This window comes from Homo sapiens, chromosome 17 (assembly GCF_000001405.40).
Source record: "Homo sapiens chromosome 17, GRCh38.p14 Primary Assembly".
Taxonomy (NCBI): domain Eukaryota; kingdom Metazoa; phylum Chordata; class Mammalia; order Primates; family Hominidae; genus Homo; species Homo sapiens.
In genome coordinates, this window is record NC_000017.11 from 8,325,943 (window position 1) to 8,347,137 (window position 21,195).

At 48.1% G+C, this 21,195-nt stretch overlaps 1 protein-coding gene, 1 long non-coding RNA gene and 1 other non-coding gene across 4 annotated transcripts; all 3 read left to right on the plus strand.

The window, feature by feature from the left end:
* The first annotated feature begins 3,640 nt into the window (after positions 1-3,640).
* On the plus strand, positions 3,641-3,777 carry LOC124900396 (small nucleolar RNA SNORA69). Its single transcript, XR_007065989.1, has one exon. It is a non-coding gene; the product is annotated as a small nucleolar RNA SNORA69 (small nucleolar RNA).
* An 8,337-nt stretch (positions 3,778-12,114) lies between these two features.
* Positions 12,115-12,816, plus strand: LOC124903916 (uncharacterized). The gene is made up of 2 exons (XR_007065607.1): positions 12,115-12,349; positions 12,481-12,816. It is a non-coding gene; the product is annotated as an uncharacterized LOC124903916 (long non-coding RNA).
* A 1,081-nt stretch (positions 12,817-13,897) lies between these two features.
* On the plus strand, positions 13,898-20,104 carry ODF4 (outer dense fiber of sperm tails 4). Of its 2 annotated transcripts, none has more exons than NM_153007.5 (3): positions 13,898-14,563; positions 19,401-19,535; positions 19,726-20,104. In NM_153007.5, exons 1-3 carry the CDS (start codon positions 14,110-14,112, stop codon positions 19,908-19,910), a joined length of 774 nt encoding a protein of 257 aa, NP_694552.2. In that variant the 5' UTR covers positions 13,898-14,109; the 3' UTR covers positions 19,911-20,104. The 2 variants fall into 2 exon arrangements, with proteins under 2 accessions (NP_694552.2, NP_001306882.1); NM_001319953.2 differs by having other exon boundaries at positions 13,898-14,218.
* Positions 20,105-21,195: the final 1,091 nt, after the last annotated feature.

Consider the following 21,195-nt stretch of genomic DNA (forward strand, 5'->3'; position numbering starts at 1 on the left):
GCTGATACAAAGTTGTTAGGAATTCTCATTGGTTTAAAGGAAGCTCTTTGATTAGTGATTGGCTATATACTGTTAAGCTATAGGGGGTGGGTTATAGTGTCCAGTGTGGCATTACCAGGTTAATTCATAGCTACTTATGGCAAGAGCAAGCCAATGCAAGCAGTTAAAGAGGTGAATACCTAGCTCAAAGGGGGTAATGGGATGTCACTGTTGTCTCATTTTAATTCCTCTCTGGCCCTGATTTTTTTTTTTTTTTTTGTCACAAGATTTGGCTTTGTCACCCAGGCGGGAGTGCAGTGGCACGATCTTGGCTCACTGCAGCCTCGAGCTCCTGGGCTCAAGCGATCCTCCTGCCTCAGCTTCCTGAGTAGCTGGGACCACAGGCAGGAGCCAACACACCCGACTAATTTCTGTATTTTTTGTAGAGACGGCGTTTTGCCATGTTGCCCAGGCTGGTCTGGAACTCCTGGGCTCAAGCGATCCTCTCTATGGGCCTGATAATTTTAAAAGCCTTGCCCCCCTCAGATAAAAAGTTTTTCTTTTCCTACAAGATAAGGCAGATAGTAAAGGGCACGGGCCTCTCTTTGAGCTGGCCTTCTGTGGGCTCCGGGTCAAGATCTTAGTGGCCAACATCGCAGATAAACGGGGGTGGGGGTTGCAATCATGCCCACAAGCAACAGAGGAAAGAGAGGAGCCTCGCCCTCTTCCCCCCACGCCCCGGCCCCCAAGCCTGCTCACTAGCTCTCTCCTCCTCCTTCCACCCGCAAGGAACCCTCCAGCCCACTTCCTGTGATCCTTTCCGGAGCCCTTCAGCCTGGCTGGCTCTCCAGCCATCTCGGAAAGCTTCTCTTTCCTAAACCCTCCATACTCGCAGGTTCAGCTACAGAGGTAACTGCAGGCTCAGGTTCTCCAGGGTGGCCAGCCCACCAGCCCACCGTCCCGGTGCAGCAGTGCCTCTCCAGCGACAGCTCCACCGCGAGCCTGGCGGGCTCCCGACCTTGCTCCCCAGCACGTCGTCTCCAAGCCACGGTCTCACCACCCTCCATCAGCCTCGGGCGACACCAAGGGGAACAGAGCGCTGGAGCTCCTCGAAGTCCTCCCGACCTTAGCGGGGCTCCGTTCATCCTCCCGGACGTGGCCAGGCCCCGCTCTGGCCCCGCGCCCGCCCCTCCCGCGGGGCTGCCCCTGTCTCTCTGCCGGAGACCCGGACTCAGTGAGTGAGCGCAGCGCGGCCATAGGGCTTCCTGCAGCGGGGTCTCAGCACGTCTTCTGGCTGGACTCTGGGGTCTCCTGGCCTGGCTGTGTCTCCTGGTTCTCAGCGCTCGCCTCCCACGCGGGGCGGAGTATGGGAGTGGGCTGCTCCCGCGGAAGAATCCTGGGGAAGTTGAGGCACTGGCTCCCGCTGTTCAGAACACTGCCCGACGTCCCCAGAGCTAGCCACTCCTCCTTCCCACCCACCCGCAGCACTCTCGAGGTCGCAACGGCAGTCACCAGGTCCCGGGGCCTGCGTTCAGCTGCTTGATCCGACTAGGTTTGGCTTCGGACCCGAATGGGTCAGCTCCACGCCCGATGGAGTTTTTCAAGCTGGTGCCTGCACGTGCCCCCGCCGCGGGGCATGAAGCCGTGGGCTGCGCCCAAACTGCCTCACAACCACCGCTGACCCGAAGCCTCTCTCACTCCGTCCACTGTTAGAAACCTGAAGCTGCCCTCTGTGAGAAAGCGTTGGGATTGAATCCAGACTTTTGGGGAACCTTAACAATAAAGAATACAAAATATTGACTAAAAATTGGATTTGAAAGTGACCCTGAGTTGTTGTTGTTGTTTTTGTTTTAGACGGAGTCTCACACTGTCACCCAGTCTAGAGTGCAGTGGCGTGACCTCGGCTCACCGCAACCTTCGCCTCCTGGGTTCAAGCGATTCTCCTGCCTCAGCCTCCCGAGTAGCTGGGACTACAGGCGTGCGCCACCACACTCGGCTAATTTTTTATATTTTTAGTAGAGACGGGGCTTCACCATATGGCCAGGCTGGTTTTGAACCCTTGACCTCATGATCTACCCCCATCGACCTCCCAAAGTGCTGGGATTACAGGGGAGGCACTGCGCCCAGCTACTCTTCCTTGATTTACGACAACCCTTGGTTATTGTGATTGGGTCGAGATGGGTATGTGTCCCAATTTGGATCAATGAGTTCAGAGACAGTTAATTCGAGACCCACCCAAGAGCCACTTGAATGAGCCATTCTCTCTTCCCCTGGACATTGCAGTGTGAGGATATAAGGTTTGGATCAGTGGCTGCCATTTTAGTGCAGTGAGAGGCAGCTTGGAGTTGCTGGGGAGGCCACTGGATACAGCCTGATGAAGGAGCCAACACCACAAAACTGGAAATGGAGAGACAAGGGGAAAGCCAGGTCCTTGTTATCATCACTTGAGTTCCAGGATCAAGTCTCATCTGAAGCTTTTATCTTGATTTTTCAGTTATTTTTGTTTGTTTGTTTGTTTGAGGCAGGATCTCGCACTGTTGCCCAGGCTGGAAGGAAGTGGCACGATCTCGGCCCACTGCAACCCTCTGCCTCCTAGGTTCAAGCTATTCTCATACTTCAGCCTCTCTAGTAGCTGGGACTACAGGCATGCGCCACCATGCCCAGCTAATTTTTTTTTTTTTTTTTTTTTTTTAGATGGAGTCACACTCTGTCACCCAGGCTGGAGTGCAATGGCATGATCTTGGCTCACTGCAACCTCTGCCTCCTGGGTTCAAGTGATTCTGTTGTCTCAGCCTCCTGAGTAGCTGGGATTGCAGGCGCCTGCGATCATGCCCCACTAATTTTTGTATTTTTAGTAGAAATGAAGTTTCACCATGTTGGCCAGGCTGGTCTCAAACTCCTGACCTCAGGCGATCTGCCCGCCTGGGCCTTACAAAGTGCTGGGATTACAGGCACGAGCCACTGAGACCAGCCTGGATTTTTCAGTTCTATAGGTCATTAAATTCCCTTTATCCCTTAAACCAGTTTGAATCTCCTTTCTTTTATTAGCTACAGAGTCCTAACTGATTCAGATAATCCACAATACAATTGTACTCTTAGCTATTCCAGAGAGGCCATTTATCTCACTGGCAGCTCTTCCTCTCCTGTGTGCCTTCCTGTTCAGACTCTGTGGATCACGCAATGAATTCCCAAATGGTAGGATGCAAATCTGAGGTGGGCAGGTCCACCTCAAGTCGGCCTGCTTGTTACAATAGGTAACTTCGCCAAAGTTGCTTCAATTTGGTCCTCATCATGGCTTGCCATTTTATTTAAGACGAGACCAGGCCGGGCGCGGTGGCTCACGCCTGTAATCCCAGCACTTTGGGAGGCCGAGGCGGGTGGATCACTTGAGGTCAGGAGTTCGAGACCAGCCTGACCAGTATGGTGAAATCCCGTCTCTACTAAAAATACAAAAATTAGTTTGGTGTGGTGGCACATGCCTGCAATCCCAGCTCCTTGGGAGGCTGAGGCAGGAGAATCGCTTGAACCCGGGAGGCGGAGTTTGCAGTGAGGCAACATGGCACCACTGCACTCCAGCCTGGGCAACAAGAGTGAAACGCTGTCTCAAAAAAAAAAAAAAAAAAAAAAAAGACTAGATTGGGCATTTAGAATGTCAGAGTGAAAAGCAAGCTGGAATTACAGTGCTTCATTTTGTGAAATACTAAATACCATCATTATGCTGCTGAAAGAAAAGCTGTTTTAATGATTTTTGATTTGTCTTTGTGAGAGTAAAATCACGACAGATTGACATGGACAATTCTAAGGAAAAAATAAATAAAAGAATACCAGAATGAAAATACAGAACGTTGCATGTTGGTTTCATTCTCTCAGAAGAAACTGAGGCACAAAGAGGTCAAGTATTTCAGGTTCACAGAGCTAGCAATTGGCAGAGACAGCATTTGCATCTGACAGTCTCACTCGAGAGTTCTGGATATATTCAAAGTGTTCTGGAAGCAGCATATATATGATGATCCATGGGGACGATAAATAAATATTTAAAAAGATTTCATATTTTTAATCTTTTTATTTTGAGACGGCGTCTTGCTCTGTTGCCCAGGCTGGCGTGCAGTGGCACGATCTCAGCTCACTGCAACCTTCACCTCCTGGGTTCAAGTGATTCTCCTGCCTCAGCCTCCTGAGTAGCTGGGATTATAGGTGTGTGCCATCACTCCTGGCTAATTTTTGTATTTTTAGAAGAGACGGGGTTTCACCATATTGTTTGGGTTGGTCTTAAACTCCTGACCTCAAGTGATCTGCTCACCTCAGCCTCCCAAAGTGCTGGGATTACAGGCATTAGTCACCACGCCCGGTACCATATTTCTACTCATTATGCCCTTTATAAAATATATTATTGTAGATGTTTAAAGCTGTTAGTGTAGTAGTACTTATATATGATTCATGGATAACATTTATATGTGTGTATATATACGCATCTACATATCATTATATATGTACGTACACATACACACAGATACATTCACACATACATATATGTGGGTATCACAAAGTATTAGTTAAGTGACTCTAATACTTTGAATGTAATATTCAAAGTATTATTTGCATGTAGATTCTGAAATAATACTTTGAGAATCAGCAGGGTAGGGGCGGGGGTCAGTGGGCAGAGGAGTGGGATTCCCCCAGAATGAAAGGAATTTCTCATAGACTCATAGTTCAGCCTCATAGTTTCACCACCGACTTTGCACTTGACTTCAATTACAAAGTCCCAGGGCAGAACTCTGGAAGGATCTAGCTTGGGTCAACCATTTTTTTTTTTTTTTTGAGATGGATCTCATTCTGTTGCCCAGGCTGGAGTGCAGTGGTGAAATCTCAGCTCACTGCAACCTCTGCCTCTTGGGTTCAAGTGATTCTCCTGCCTCATCCTCCCAAGTAGCTGGGAGGACAGGCGTGCGTCACCATGCCTGGCTAATTTTTGTATTTTTAGTAGAGATGGGGTTTCTTTTTTTTTTTTTTTTTTTTTGAGACGGAGTCTTGCTCTGTCACCCAGGCTGGAGTGCAGTGGCACGATCTCGGATCACTGCAAGCTCCGCCTCCCGGGTTCATGCCATTCTCCTGCCTCAGCCTCCCGAGTAGCTGGGACTACAGGCGCCTGCCACCACGCTTGGCTAATTTTTTGTATTTTTAATAGAGACGGGGTTTCACCGTGTTGGCCAGGATGGTCTCGATCTCCTGACCTCGTGATCCGCCCGCCTCAGCCTCCCAAAGTGCTAGGATTACAGGCATGAGCCACCGCACCTGGCCTAGAGATGGGGTTTCACCATGTTGGTCAGGCTGGTCTCGAACTCCTGACCTCAGGTGATCCGCCCGCCTTGGCCTCCTAAAGTGCTGAGATTACAGGTGTGAGCCACTGCGCGCCCGGCCGTGGGTCAATCATTTTGAGTTTGGGTCACGTGTTCACCACTTTGCAGCCCCCACTGGAACCACAGTGATGAGTTTTCAGGCATCAACCAATAGGAGACAAGCATATGTAGATCAAAATAGTACCATTATTACTGGTAAAGATGTTTGTAAATGTGGCTTTATTTTCTCTGGTCAAATTGGCTTTTTAATAATTCACCCTTGCTGGGTGCTGTGGCTCCTGCCTGTAATCCCAGCACTTTGGGAGGCCGAGGCGGGTGGATCACCTGAGGTCGGGAGTTCGAGACCAGCCTGACCAACATGGAGAAACCCCATCTCTACTAAAAATACAAAATTAGCCGGACGTGGTGGCGCATGCCTGTAATCCCAGCTACTCAGGAGGCTGAGGCAGGAGAATCACTTGAACCCGGGAGGCGGAGGTTGTGGTGAGCCGAGATCACCCCATTGCACTCCAAACTGGGCAACAGAGTGAAACTCCGTCTCAAAAAAAAAAAAAAAAAAAATTCACCCTTGATTGCCTAGTCCTGGGGAGCTTTTACTGTGTGACCAAGAACAGGCAGGAACACATGCCCGTTCCAGGTGAGCAGGTTGCCAAAAGAGAACCCAGATGAAGCTGAACCACCACATGTCCCTTCATCCCAAACCCACTATGTTAATTATTTGTCCCATTAATGAAATAGCTGCATTTCTTCTTCTGGGAACATGGTGGGCTCCCTCTTAGAGTGAAGTGCAGGTATGTTACTTGCTTTAGCCAGTTACATGTCATTAGTTGTGACGCGTGTCACCTCCAGCTGGGAGCTTTAAGAGCCTGTGGTTGATTGGCTGCACAAACTCTTTTTCCACTTGATATGGCAACAGTTAGTGGTCCAGGTGGTACCTGCTTCATTATCCTATGTTCTGGAATGAGGACGACATGGAGAGGAGCCCCAAGACAACAAACAGTGACATGGAGCTTGAGCAACGAAGAAATATTTGCTGTTTTAAGCAACTGAGATTTTGCAGTTGCTTGTTACCACAGCATAACCTTGCCTATCCTGACTGCTACATTCACCAGTCAGATAAGGTGCTCCATCTTCTTTGCAGGAGGAAAGAAGAAGAAGTAGGGAGAGAAGTTAGGGGTTTTCTTCTATCTACCTGGAAATATGAATAGGAAATAAATGCTTCCTCCTAATACATATTATTAAGCTAAGGATGGAGGAGCACTTCCCAAAAGGAAAAATGGATCAGTCAGGATTATGGTTATAAGCAGCAGAATACAACTTTGGTGATGTTTGTAGAAAATGGTGTTTGCGGACAGGATATTGGATAGTCACCGAGTCTCCAGAAAAGCTGGAGAATCGAGCCTATAAAACAGGCAGGAGTGTGGGAGGTAACACAGTCCAAGCTACCACCAAAAACACTCCGCAGAACTGGTCTGTCAAGCATGCACCGTAGATTCACACGACCTTCACCCCCCCGCCACTGGGTGTCCTGGTCAGCATGACAACAAAGCCCACAGTGACAGGAATGCTCACAACAGATGCTGCTGCTTGTACTGCTGACAGTGCCACTCCTGCCCCTGCTGCTGTCACCACTGTAAAATAGACTCTTCTCTGTCCCTGCTTTGTGTCACTGGCTCCCAAGTTTAAGTCCGGGGACATTGTGTCTGTTTGGTTGATCCTAGGTCATGTAATTAGATCAGTAGTTGGGAAAGTGAATCTTTGGCTTGTTCAACTTCTGCAGTTGGACCAGGGCTGTCTCCAGACTAGGCCTTTTTTTTTTTTTTTTTTTTTTTTTTTTGGACAAAGTCTTGTTCTGTTACCCAGGCTGGAGGGCAGTGGTGCGATCTTGGCTCACTGCAACCTCTGCCTCTTGGGTTCAAGCAATCCTCCTGCCTCAGTCTCTCAAGAAGCTGGGATTACAGGTGTGTGCCATTATGCTCAGCTGATTTTTGTATTTTTAGTAGAGATAGGGTTTTGCTATGTTGGTCAGGGTGGTCTCGAACTCCTGCCTCAAGCAATCCATCTGCCTCAGCCTCCCAAAGTGCTGGGATTACAGGTGTCAGCCACCATGCCTGGCCATGAGGTCTCTTTAGATCTGGTGGCTCTCTGCTGCTTCCAAGTCATGTTTGGGCCATGAGACTATTTTGGGAAGCTGCCCAAGTTCCAGTATGTCTAGATGCTCTGTAATCATCATTCCCTGGTGTTGGCGGCTTCCCTGATGGTGCTGCAAGGAGCAAGTGCATGTCTGTCTCTGTCCTCTCAACTACTCTGGAGCATTCTTCTCATGCTGGGGGCGATCCCCACTCCTCTGACCACTGTCCGCCTACCCTGCTCTGCAGATTTTCCAGGATGCTTTGAATATATCCGGCGTGAGACTGGACAGTTCAAATGCTGGCTCTGTGACTTAGAGCAAATGACTTAGCCTTTGTGCCTCAGTTTTTTCTGCTGAAAAACACTGTAATAGGCCGGGCGCGGTGGCTCACGCCTGTAATCCCAGCACTTTGGGAGGCCGAGGTGGGCGGATCACGAGGTCAGGAGATCGAGACCATCCTGGCTAACACGGTGAAACCCTATCTCTACTAAAAATACAAAAAATTAGCCGGGCATGGTGGCGGGCACGTGTAGTCCCAGCTACTCGGGAGGCTGAGGCAGGAGAATGGCGTGAACCCGGGAGGCGGAGCTTGCAGTGAGCCAAGATTGCGCCACTGCACTCCAGCCTGGGCGACAGAGTGAGATTCCGACTCACAAAACAAAACAAAACAAAACAAAACAAAACAAAACAAAACACTGATAATAACAGTTCTTACCTGTGTTCATTTGGGTTCTCCCAGAAGCACACCCTGAGACAACGATTTGAGAACAGGTAGTTAACAGGGAGGTAACCCCATGATACAATAGTAAAGGTGTAAGAAACTGAGATAGGGAAGGGAAGAAAGTCAGTAAGGTGGGGTACAAAACCAGTTTCTACTATGAGCAACTAGAGATTGATCCCACTGGGGAACTCTGGGTGACAGCATAGAGCAGGGTTGAACAAACTGTGGCCTGGGCCATAAAATAGTTTTATCAGAACAGCTGCTCCTATTCAATTATATATGGTCTGTGGCTGATTTCACAGTATAATAGCCAAGTGGAATAGTTGTGATAGAGACTGTATGGCTTGCAAAGCCTAAAGTATTTACTTATTTATTTTTAACTTTTTTTTGTTTTTGAGAGAGTCTTACTCTGACTCCCAGGCTGGAGTGCAGTGACGCGATCTCTGCTCATTTGCAACCTCCGCCTCCCGGGTTCAAGCAATTCTCCCGCCTCAGTCTCCTGAGTAGCTGGGATTACAGGCATGAGTCACCACGCCTGGCTGTTTTTTTTTTTGTTTTTTGTTTTTTTTGTATTTTTAGTAGAGACAGGGTTTCACCATGTTGTCCAGGCTGGTCTTGAACTCTTGACTTCGTGATCTACCCACCTCGGCCTCCCAAAGTGCTGATTACAGGCGTGAGCCACTGTGCCCGGCCTATTATCTGGATTTTTTTTTTTACAGAAAAAGTTTGTCAGCTCCTGATGTAGGACATGTGTTAGAGATATCCCAACCTAGGAGCAAGGAAGCTAGGAAATTTGTCAATTCTCCCTGTGTTACTAGTGGATGGCTTCCCTTCAGCTCTCTTCTCCTCCTTCCACCTTTCAGTCTCCGTCTTCTAGGCTTTTGCTTGTGCAACATCAAGGCCAATGACAGTTACATTTACTTTTGTGGCTATAATTAAGTCTTCCTTGCTTTGTCCATCTGTTGATTCTAAGAGTTGAAAGGCAATGAACAGTGTTTACCTTATACATTGTGACTATATAAATATCTTTTGTTGCAGAGCTAGTAATCACTTAGATTACATTTCCTTTCTTGAACTATTTGTAATTACCTTCTGAAAGACAATGTTTGATACATTCACAAGATATTATGAAATCTATGTTAGCTGTAAATGATTATAATATAATAAATACCTGGCCAGGCACAGTGGCTTGTGCGTGTAATCCCAGCACGAGCTGTAATCCCAGGCCAAGGCAGGAAGATCGCTTGAGCCCAGGTGCACCACCACACCTGTAGTCCCAGCTACTTGGGAGGCTGAAGTGGGAGGATTGCTTGAGCTCAGGAGTTCAGCTATGATAGTGTCACTGCACTCCAGCCTAGGTGACAGAGCGAGATTTGTCTCAAAAAAAAAAAAAAAAAAAAAAAAAAAAAAAGAATATGCCTGCACCTATCACCCAACTCAGGAACTAGACTCTTATTAATAATGCATATGTGCTCGTGTAACATTCCTCATCTCACTCCTATGCCTTCTTGAGAAGTAACCATCATATGATATTTCATGTTTACTGTGCCACTGCTTTTTAAAAACTACCATGCAATCATAAGCTTACATAAGCTTAAACAATGCATTGGTTGTTGAGCTTGGTTATAGGCTCTATAAAAATGGCATCATATGTACTGTGTAGTCTTCTGGGGGTTACATTTTTCAGGAAACATTCTATTTCCAAGATTCTTCTGTGTTGTGTGTTGCTGTGAGAAATGCTTATTATTAAAAACCCTTAGAAACTCCAGGAAAAAGCTGGGTGCAGTGGCTGATGCCTGTAATCCCAGCACTTTGGGAGGCCGAGGCGGGTGAATCACGAGGTCAGGAGTTTGAGACCCACCTGGCCAACGTGGTGAAAGCCCGTCTCTACTAAAAATACAAAAAATTAGCTGGGCGTGGTGGCGGGCACCTGTAATCCCAGCTACTTGGGAGGCTGAGGCAGGACAATTGCTTGAACCGGTGGGGGCACAGGTTGCAGTGAGCTGAGATCACACCACTGCACTCCAGCCTGGGGGACAGAGTGAGACTCCGTCTCAAAAAAAAAAAAAAAAAAAAAGAAACTCCAGGAAAAACTTAAAAACTAAAGAGGATTCGAGGGAGGAAGCCCAATCCTGACGACACTGGCTCTGTGTAAATGACATTCCCAGCAGGCCCACCACCCCCTCTCCCAGTGTTCTCCCCTCCTTCTCCCATCTTCAAGATTCTGTCTTCTGGCTGGGTGTGGTGGCTCATGCCTGTAATCCCAGCACTTTGGGAGGCCGAGGCGGGCAGATCACGAGGTCAGGAGATCGAGACCATCCTAGCTAACACGGTGAAACCCCATCTCTACTAAAAATACAAAAAATTAGCCAGGCGTGGTGGTGGGCACCTGTAGTCCCAGCTACTCGGGAGGCTGAGGCAGGAGAATGGCATGAACCCGGGAGGCGGAGCTTGCACCACTGCACTCCAGCCTGGACGACAGAGTGAGACCCTGTCTCAAAAAAAAAAAAAAAAAAGATTCTGTCTTCTGACCCAGTGCCCCAACTGTAGCTGCTTGTTCTAAGGATGACACTCGTCCCTGGCAGGGCCAGAGAATGCTTGGACTTGGGACTGAGAGGTCTCCCCTCCAGCAGCTGGAGGGGTCTGATACACAGCTTGGAGTGTGAGGGCCATGTTTCCCACCATGTGGACCAGAGCAGAGGAAGAGGCTGGTCTGCAGAGACAGAGGAAGACGCCCAGGGAGGGGCAGAGACCACAGCCAGAAGAAGCGCCCTCACAGGCTTTGAATTTCAACTTTCAACCATTCCTGAGGTCCCACTGCACAGGTGACATCAGGATTCATAGTTCACTCTCCTTTTGCTTACAAGGAGAGTTAATTTGGAGAGTTAATCTGTTCCATGATTTGCAGATGCCACTGACTGGCAAGGATGCTTGCCAGGAATTATCTTCTGCATTTTTGCTCTTTCCCTGTTTGCTAGTGAAAGACTGTAAAAACAATTAAAATGATAATTTAACAACATAATTACCAGTTGCTGGGAATTTACTATGAACTAGTGAGTGCTTTTTGATCATTATCTCATTCAGCACTCTTACCAAGTCTATGAGAAAAATATTGTTCCTGTGTTACAGATGAGTAAACTGAGGCATAAGGAAGCTATATGACATCCAGGTTCACAGGGCTATTAAGAGGAAGACCCGGCTGCATGTGGTGGCACACACCTGTAATCCCAAGACTTTGGGAGGCTGAGACAGGTGGATCACCTGAGGTCAGGAGTTTGAGACCGGCCTGACTGACATGGTGAAATCCTGTCTCTACAAAATACAAAACATTAGCTGGGCGTGGTGGCTCATTCCTGTAATCCCAGCTACTTGGGAGGCTGAGGCAGGAGAATTGCTTGAACCCAGGAGGCGGAAGTTGCAGTTAGCTGACCAAGATGGCGCCATTGCACTCTAGCCTGGGCAACAAGAGTGAAATCCCATCTCAAAAAAAAAAAAAAAAAAAGGCGGGGAAGACCCATTTTTCATACCTTTGCCTGTTGGACCCCAAAGCCTATGTTCTTTTTTTTTAGACAGAGACTCCTTCTGGCCTGAGTGATGAAGGAAGACTGTCTCAATAAATAAATACATAAATAAATAAAATTATAACAATCTCAGAAGGCATGACACCTCTAGGACCCATTCTCATCCTACATCCTCCTCTTTCTGGTGCTGAGAAAAAAAAGAAAGGAAAAAGAAAAGTCAAAAGAAGAGGGAAGGAACTGGTGGTGATTGACTAGCAGTGAGTAGAGCTGGGAGGGAGGTGAAGGGTTGGGGAAAGCAATGGGAAGCTCGATGACATCTTTGCAAGACATGTCCAAAGAACAATGGAGGGAGGATCTTTTCCTGGGGATAAGCTCCTGCTCCCTCCCCCTGCTCCATCAGTGAGCATTTGGGGTTGGGGTTAGGGCAGAGGAACTAGGAAGAGAAAAGGGGACTGTCCTAGTCCATTTTGTGTTGCTATAACAGAATACCTGAGGGTGAATAATTTATAAAGAAAAAAGGGCTATTTGGCTCACAATTCTGATGGCCAGAAAGCTCAAGATTGGGCATCTGTTGAGGACGTCAGGCTGCTTTCACTTATGGTGGAGGCAAGGGGGAGCTGGCTTGTGCAGAGATCACAAGGTAAGGGAGGAGCTGAAACTGTGCCCCAAACAGTTAAATAAACCAGTGATTAACAGACATTTTCGAGTTTACAGGATGGCAGCTAAGAAACAGCTTGCTGAAATGCTGAAAAATCCCTTTGCTTATAACAGGACTGGCTGAAATCAGTGGGAACCCGTATGGCTGACAGCAATCCGCACAGAACGAGCTTGCTGATGTCACAGCCTGAATTTCCACCTGCTGTTTCATACTAACGCCACCAAATTTGCACATGCAACCCACGAAGAACCTTGGAGATAACCAGACATGATTAAGGACTTTCTAGACTTCTCCTTTCTTTCCACCAATCACCCGCTAATCCCAGAATCCTCCCCCTAAACCTTTTCTAATAAAAGTACTGCCTTAAGACCAGCAAAGAGAGACAGATTTGAGCTGGATTCCCGTATCCTCGTGGGTCAGCTCACAATAAAGCTTTCCTTTTCTCAAAACCTAGTGCCCTAGTATTGGAGTATTGGCTTCTATGCACATCTGGCAGCGAGCACTTTTGCTTGGTAACAGCGCCAGGTTCTTTTTAACAACCAGCTATTGCGGGGAGCTAATGGAGTGAGGTCTCAGGGAAGGCGTTAATCCAATCACAAGGCATCTGCCCCCATGACCCAAACACCACCCACTAGGCCCTCTCACCTCCCATCACCACCACACTGGGGAGCAAATTTCAGCATGAGGTTTGGTGAAGACAAATTAACCATATGCAGACCACAGGAGGGCCTCTCACATACCATTGCTCATATGTAAAGGGAGGCAGAAGCTGGAGGGAGGTGTCAGATCCACAGTTCTGAGCTGTGGCCTGAGAAACAGGATTTCCGGAAAGAGTTAGAGCTGGAGCCACAGGCCAGGCAAGGTGGCTCACACCTGTAATCCCAGTGCTTTGGGAGGCCAAGTGGGGAGGATCTCATGAGGCCAGGAGTTTTTTTTTTTTTTTTTTGAGGCTGAGTTTCACTCTTGTTGCCCAGGCTGGAGTGCAATGGTGCGATCTCGGCTCACCGCAACCTCCGCCTCCCAGGTTCAAGCAATTCTCCTGCCTCAGCCTCCTGAGTAGCTGGGACTACAGGCATGTGCTACCACGCCCAGCTAATTTTGTATTTTTAGTAGAGATGGGGTTTCTCCATGTTGGTCAAGATGGTCTCGAACTCCCGACCTCAGGTGATCCACCCACCTCGGCCTCCCAAAGTGCAGTGATTACAGGCGTGAGCCACCGTGCCTGGCAGAGGCCAGGAGTTTGAGACCAGGCTGGGTAACATATCAAGACCCCATCTCTACAAACAATTGAAAAATTAGCCAGGCATGCTGGCACAATCCTGTAATCCCAGCTACTCAGGAGGCTGAGGTGGGAGGATCACTTGAACCCAGGAGTTCAAGGTTGCAGTGAGCCAAGGTTGTGCCACTGCATCCCAGCCTGGGCAATAGAGGGAGACCCTGTCTCTCTCTCTAAAAAAAAAAAAAAAAAAAAAAAAAATTGCTGAAGACTTGGCTTCCCTCCCCCATCTCACTGTGCCCCAGGAAAATTCCGTGGCAGTTAGGGGACCTGGCCTGCTGAATGGGTTGGGGCCTTCTCTTGGATCAAGAGTCTCTTATTTGATCGAGGTCTGTTATTAGACTTCCTCATTCTTTCTCAGACCTCAGGCTGCATGGTGGCAGCTGATGAAAATATCCAAAAGATGAGAAGAGACAATTGAGTCTGGTGAGGGAAAGGGGAGACAGAGGGTGAAGTGGTGCTCAAGATGGATGCAGAGTACTCTGGGAATGAGTTCCCCAGGTCAGAAGGAGAAAGAGACCAACATCAGAGACCTGGAAAGGAAAGGAAGAGTGGGGAGGCAGGATGGGGCACAGGTGAGCTGGGACAAGATGGGAGACTGCTGTCCTCCACCCTCTCCCTCAGTAGTAACAGGTCCTTGGGCCAGCGCCAGAACTCTCCGCTGCCCTTTCAATGGAGAATCACACACAGCTTCCGCTGGATGGCCCAGGTGTTGGCCTCTGAGCTCAGCCTGGTTGCCTTTATCCTACTATTGGTCGTGGCCTTCTCCAAGAAATGGCTGGACCTCTCTAGGAGCCTCTTCTACCAGCGCTGGCCCGTGGATGTCAGCAACAGAATCCACACATCAGCCCACGTTATGTCCATGGGGCTCCTGCACTTTTACAAATCCAGGAGCTGTTCTGACTTAGAGAATGGGAAAGGTGAGCCCCTCCACCCCCCATCCCAGCCCAGGCCGCCAGCCTGTCTTGGCCTCTGTATCTGCACCCTGGATGTATTCTTGTTCCCTCTTTCTGGTCATCTTTACTTTTTGGCCTGCAAGATGGTTCCACTGGCACTGAGACCTCCGATGATCGTTTCTCATCCTGTAGCCTGGCTAAATAGATTTGATTGGTGCAATGGAAAATGTCACTGCTTTTGATAAAACCCAGAGCCAAATCTGTGCTTCTAAGAATGCTGTGAGAGAGTTGGGCATGGTGCTGCACACCTGTAGTCTCAGCTATCCAGGAGGCTGAGGTGGGAGGATTGCTTGGGCCCAAGAATTTGAGTCCAGCCTGGGCAATTTAGTGAGACTCCTGTCTCAAAAAAAAAAAAAAAAAAATCAGGCTGGGCACTGCGTCTCACACCTGTAATCCCAGCACTTTGGGAGGCCAAAGCAGGCAGATCACCTAAGGTTGGGAGATCGAGACCATCCTGGCTAACATAGTGAAACCCCGTCTCTACTAAAAATACAAAAAATTAGCCAGGCGTGGTGGCACATGCCCGTAATCCCAGCTACTCTGGAGACTGAGGCAGGAGAATTGCTTGAACCCGGGAGGTGGAGGTTGCGGTGAGCCGAGACCGCACCATTGCACTCCAGCCTGGGCAACAAGAGTAAAACTCTGTCTCAAAAAAAAAAAAAAGTTACGAGGGGCATGGACTCAGCACAAGAGAATCATTCATTAATCGCCTAATTTACCAGGGACAAGAGCCCCAGTGAGATGGGGGTTTCCTTAGTCTTGTGTACCCAGAGCTTTGAGAGGACTCCTTGCAATGTCCCCTCTCAGGCCCTGATCCCACACATTCTCCTTTCCTTCTGCCTCAGGCCTTGCTTTTCTGGATCATTTTCCTTTTTCCACATCTGGCTTCTGTGTTCCTTCTTTCCCTGAATTCTTGCAGCTGCTTCATTCCTCATCCTTGTTTTTTTCTGTTTGTTTCGCTGATTTTTTTAGAGACAAGGTCTCACTCTGTCACCCAGGCTGGAGTACAGTGGTGCAATCATAGCTCACTGCAGCCTCGAACTTCCAGGCTCAAGGGATCCTCCTGCTTTAACTTCCGGAGAAGCTCAGACTACAGGCCGTGGCCACCACACCTGGTTCTTATTGTTGTTAGTCTCTGGTTATGCTGTTCCCTCACCCCTCAGGAATTTGGAGTTCTTTCCCTGCTCCTGGGGAAAACCAGAGCTTTTGACCCTTATTTCCATTTTTTCACTCTCCTTAGCATGAAAAAAATCACACAGCTATTATTTTCTGAAAGTATTATGTCCTTATCATATGAATATGAAAATATTCATATAATGAATTATGAAAGCATTATGAAAATATTATGTCCTTATTATAATAAATTTGGGGAAACAAAAGCTATCCTTTATTGTACACTTACTCCATTTGTTCAATTTAGTCCTTAGTCAATCCTAAGGGATAGGGATAATTATCCCTATTTTAGAGATGAGAAAATTGGGACTCAGAGAGATTAAGTACCTTGCTCAGGGTCATAAAGCTATTTAGATTGAACCAAATGACATGCTAATATTTGACTGCTTTTCACCTACAAAAGGAGAATTTCACATGGATCAACCTAATAATGGCAGGGTTGGAATTGCAACTCAGGTGTGCCTGGCTCTAAAACTCACATAGGCGCCTTGCTCTACGGAGTTACTCAAAGACAGCCAGGCTTTTTATTTTTATTTATTTATTTATTTGAGACAGAGTCTTGCTTTGTTGCCCAGGCTGGAATGCAGTTGCGGTCTCAGGTCACTGCAACCTCTGCCTCCCGGTTTCAAGCGATTATCCTGCCTCAGCCTCCCAAGTAGATGGGATTACAGGCGCCCACCACCATGCCCAGCTAATTTTTGTATTTTTAGTAGAGACGGAGTTTCACCATGTTGGCCAGGCTGGTTTTGAACTCCTGACCTCAGATGATCCGCCTGCCTCGGCCTCCCAAAGTGCCTCGGCTCACGGATTACAGGCGTGAGCCACCGCATCCGGCCAAACATCACTGATTTTTAAAATTTATTTAATTAGGATTAGGTGTGTATAAACAGTGAAAATTCAAAGAATACAAAAGATTGTATACTGAAGTGAGTCTGTTATCTCTTAGTATCCAGTCTCCCTCCCTAGTTTCTCCTGTTTCTTTCCAGAGACACTCTATTCAGAGACAAGCATCTATTTTTATTTTTATTTTGAGACAGTGTCTCACTCCGTCACCCAGGATGGACTGCAGTGGTGTGATTGTAGTTTATTGCACTGCAGCCTCAAACTGCTGGGCCCAAGTGATCCTCCCACCTTGAAGCTCCCAAGTAGCTGGCACCACAGATGCCACCATGCCTGGCTACTTTTTTTTTTTTAATTTGTAGAGACCAGGGTCTCCCTCTGTTGCCCAGGCTGGTCTCCAACTCCTGGGCTCAAGTGATTCTCCTGCCTCCACCTCCCAAAGTGTTGGGATTACCGGTGTGAGCCATTGTGCCCAGTCTATCACCTATCACCATTTTAAATGAACACACAATAACACAATGTATGGGGATAGTATAATTTATTTTACAAATCTCTTCTAAATCAAGGAGCTTATTGGACATTTTTTTTTTTTTTTGAGATGGAGTCTTGCTCTGTTGCCCAGGTTGGTGTGCAGTGGCATGATCTCGGCTCAGTGCAACCCCTGCTTCCTGGGCTCAAGTGATCCTTCCACCTCAGTTTCCCCAGTAGCTGAGACTACAGACAGGTGCCACTACACCTGGCTAATTTTTGTATTTTTAGTAGAGACGGGGTTTTTACCATGTTGGCCAGGCTGGTTTCAAACTCCTGACCTCAAGTGATCCGCCCACCTCAGCCTCTCAAAGTACTGGGATTATAGGCGTGAGCCAGCACACCCAGCCGACATATTAATATCTCTGCAAAGAAGATTCCTGTACTGAGATTTTGCTGCAGATCTCTGATTATTCCTTAACATAAATTCCAAGAAGAAGCATTGTAGGGTCAAAGAATGTAGATTTTCTGGATCTTTTGTACCAGATCATTCACCACAAATGCTGCCCACCAGGAGCGTATGAGAGGACCTCTTTTCTCTACATACTCTCCTATACTAGGTGTTATCAATCTTATTTTGATCTTTGCTAATTTGACAGTTTATATATATGTATGTAGAGATGGGGTTTCACCATGTTGGTCAGGATGGTCTCGATCTCCTGACCTCGTGATCTGCCCACCTCGGCCTCCCAAAGTGCTGGGATTACAGGTGTGAGCCACCGCACCCAGCCAAGTGTGTGTGTGTGTGTGTGTGTGTGTGTGTGTGTCTATATATATATAGACTGCAACCTCAGCTTCCTGGGATCAAGCGATTCTCTTGTCTCAGCTTCCCAGCAGCTGGGATTACAGGCGCATGCCACCATGCCCAGCTAATTTTTATATTTTTAGTAGCGATGGGGTTTCACCATGTTGCCCAGGCTGGTCTCGAACTCCTGATCTCAAGTGACCTGCCCACCTCGGCCTCCCAAAGTGCTAGGATTACAGGGGTGAGCCACTGCACCCGACACCAATTGTATATTTTTAAAGAGACAGGGCCTCCCTATGTTGTCCAGGCTGCTCTCAAACCCTCAGGCTCAAGAGATCCTCCCACCTCAGCTTCCCAAAGTGGTGGGATTACAGGTGCGAGCCACCATGCTCAGCCTCGATGGTTTTTCACAAATCACATTTAATTAGCAATTCTTTGTGTTGAGCTTTATATGTTTATCAGACATTTGTACTCCTTCTTTGGAGAATTGCAGTTTAAGTCCTCTGTACATTTTTTCTGTTGAGGTATTCATTTGCATGTGGTTGAGGTTATCAAACAATATCCATATCAAGGATCTCGGATTGTTTAAGAAGTGAAAGCAATATTTCATTTTTATTTCAAATGTGCATTTCTCTGATTATTAATGGGTCTGTACATTTTCTTTCTGTCTTTTTTGTTTTTTGTTTTTTGCAGGCGGCGTCTCGCTCTGTTGCCCAGGCTGGAGTGCAGTGGCTCACCACAACCTCCGCTTCCCAGGTTCAAGCGATTCTCCTGCCTCAGCCTCCGGAGTAGCTGAGACTACAGGCATGCACCACCATGCCCAGCTAATTTTTGTATTTTTAGTAGAGACGGGGTTTCGCTATGTTGGCCAGGCTGGTCTTGAACTCCTGACCTTGTGATCCACCTGCCTCGGCCTCCCAACGTGCTAGGATTACAGGCGTGAGTCACCGCGCCTGGCGGTACATTTTCTTGTATTTGCTCATTTGATTATGTTTCATCTTTTGTAAATCCTTAGTTGATCTTGTTTGTTTGTCATTTTCCCCAGGCAGTTTTAAGCTGTGGACAATCAGCCCATGTTTAAGGTGGCTAAGTTAAGCTTCAACCTGACCCTGGGGCTGGGCCTCGTCCTCACCATCTGGTTGCACCTGCCCTACCTGCCCGCTGTTCAAAAATTGCCCTTTGTGGGCTTCGGGACCATCTTGAGCTTCTGTGAAGGTGCCTCCTAGCTCTGGAAAGGTCCTTTGTTTTCCTAACCCCCATCTTCCTGGGCACTTCTCCCTCTTCTTTGGGGGTGGTATGAGGGTTTTGTGGGTGGTGGGAGAACAGAACCGAGAATCGAGTTACATCATTTCTTGGTCACAGGAGAGGTAGAAATGCAGGGGTTGACTCCTGGAACCTCAGGGCCAGTCACTCTGTGTGTGGTGATGTGGTTTGTGGCTGTAGCCTAGCAGATGAGGAAGAACCTCCTGTGGGACTCTTGTATGACAATGAGACCCTCTGCCTCCTGTCTCCTAGTCACCTTCATCTTCTCCACCCTCATGCTATTCCCCATTAACATCTGGATCTTCGAGTTGGAAAGGAATGTATCCATCCCCATAGGCTGGAGCTATTTCATTGGTTGGCTGGTGCTTATCCTATACTTCACCTGCGGTGAGTGGCCAGAGGGCCCTGGGGGAAGGAAGCGACATGGGTAGGGTAGGGCAGGGAAAGTGTGGAGGGAAGAGGCTGGCAATCCCCAGGGCTAGATTTTTAGGGTCTTATCTTCCCTTTGGTCTCACCCTACTTGTCACTTAACCTCCCAGTCACAACTTTCCTCTCCCCTGTCCCTGTCCTTTCCCAGCGATCCTTTGCTACTTCAACCATAAAAGTTTCTGGAGTCTGATTCTGAGCCACCCCAGTGGTGCCGTGTCCTGCAGCAGCAGTTTCGGCTCAGTAGAAGAATCTCCAAGGGCACAGACGATCACAGACACCCCCATCACCCAGGAGGGAGTCCTGGATCCTGAGCAGAAGGATACACATGTGTAATCTTTTCTGAACTCCTGGCACCAAGTTCTGTCCATTCATCTGACCCCATCTCCTCATCCTCCCCCAGCCCTTGAATAGGTTGGTCCTCATCATTGCAAGGAATGAGAAAGGGAGGATTTTGCACTCCTCTGCTTTCTCCCTGCCTTGATTGAGCTTGAGTGATGTGGAATAAATTGTCCGTCTCTTCTTTCTCATATCTGGCTGTTGTTGAGGCAAGCTAGAGGAGGAGGGAGAGGAAGGGAGAAAGAACAAGTTTGTTTTCCAGTTCTTCCTGCCCAGGAGCCTTTTGGCACCCGTTAGTGCCTAAACCTGCCCAACCTCTACCAGAACATACTTGTACATGGGCAAACGCCTCTGGAGAGCTAAACCTCTTTTTACTTTGTTACCCCTGACCCAACATTTGCTAGTTAGTGGGTGGAGGAGGTAGAGCTGATTAGGAGACAGATATCACTTGCCAACTTGTTGGCTTAAGCATAGTGAAGGATTCAAAAGCCAAATGGCTCAAAGATAAGAGGCAGGTTAAACAAGGAGCACCACAGCACAAGTGGTCAGCCCAGGTGTGTGTCCTGGGCAGCAGTCCCACCCTCTGTGTCCAGCTCCGATGACAGAGCGCATAGAGCCTGTGCCCTGGAAACCACCACTACCACCATCCCCCCAGGCTGCTATAGCTTTCCACCCAAGCCTCCCACACCCTCCACCATGTAACAGCAGGAATAAAACATGGCAACAAAGGAAAGCATTAGGGTTAGGTCCTAAGACCAAAAGGTAAGTTGCATATTTGGGTTTTAAAGTTAGCTTGGGGAATGCTGGCAATGCCCATCAGGCTTTGGACATGTTGCCCAGAGAGGCCAGCCTCCTAGGAGAGCATCCATAGCTGATCTTGGTCATGTCTATCCCTCCAGATGAAACCACAATACATCCTGCTGATTGGTAGAGCCCAGTGGTCTGTTTTGATAGGGCGCTGATTGGTGCGTTTACAATCCCTGAGCTAGACACAAAGGTTCTCCACGTCCCCACCAGAGCAGCTAGATACAGAGTGTTGATTGGTGCATTCACAAACCCTGAGCTAGACACAGGGTGCTGATCGGTGTGTTTACAAACCTTGAGCTAGATACAGAGTGCCAATTGGTGCATTTACAATCCCTTAGCTAGACATAAAGGTTCTCCAAGTCCCCACCAGACTCAGGAGCCCAGCTGGCTTCACCCAGTGGATCCCACACCGGGGCTGCAAGTGGAGCTGCCTGCCAGTCCCGCGCCGTGCGCCCGCACTCCTCAGCCCTTGGGT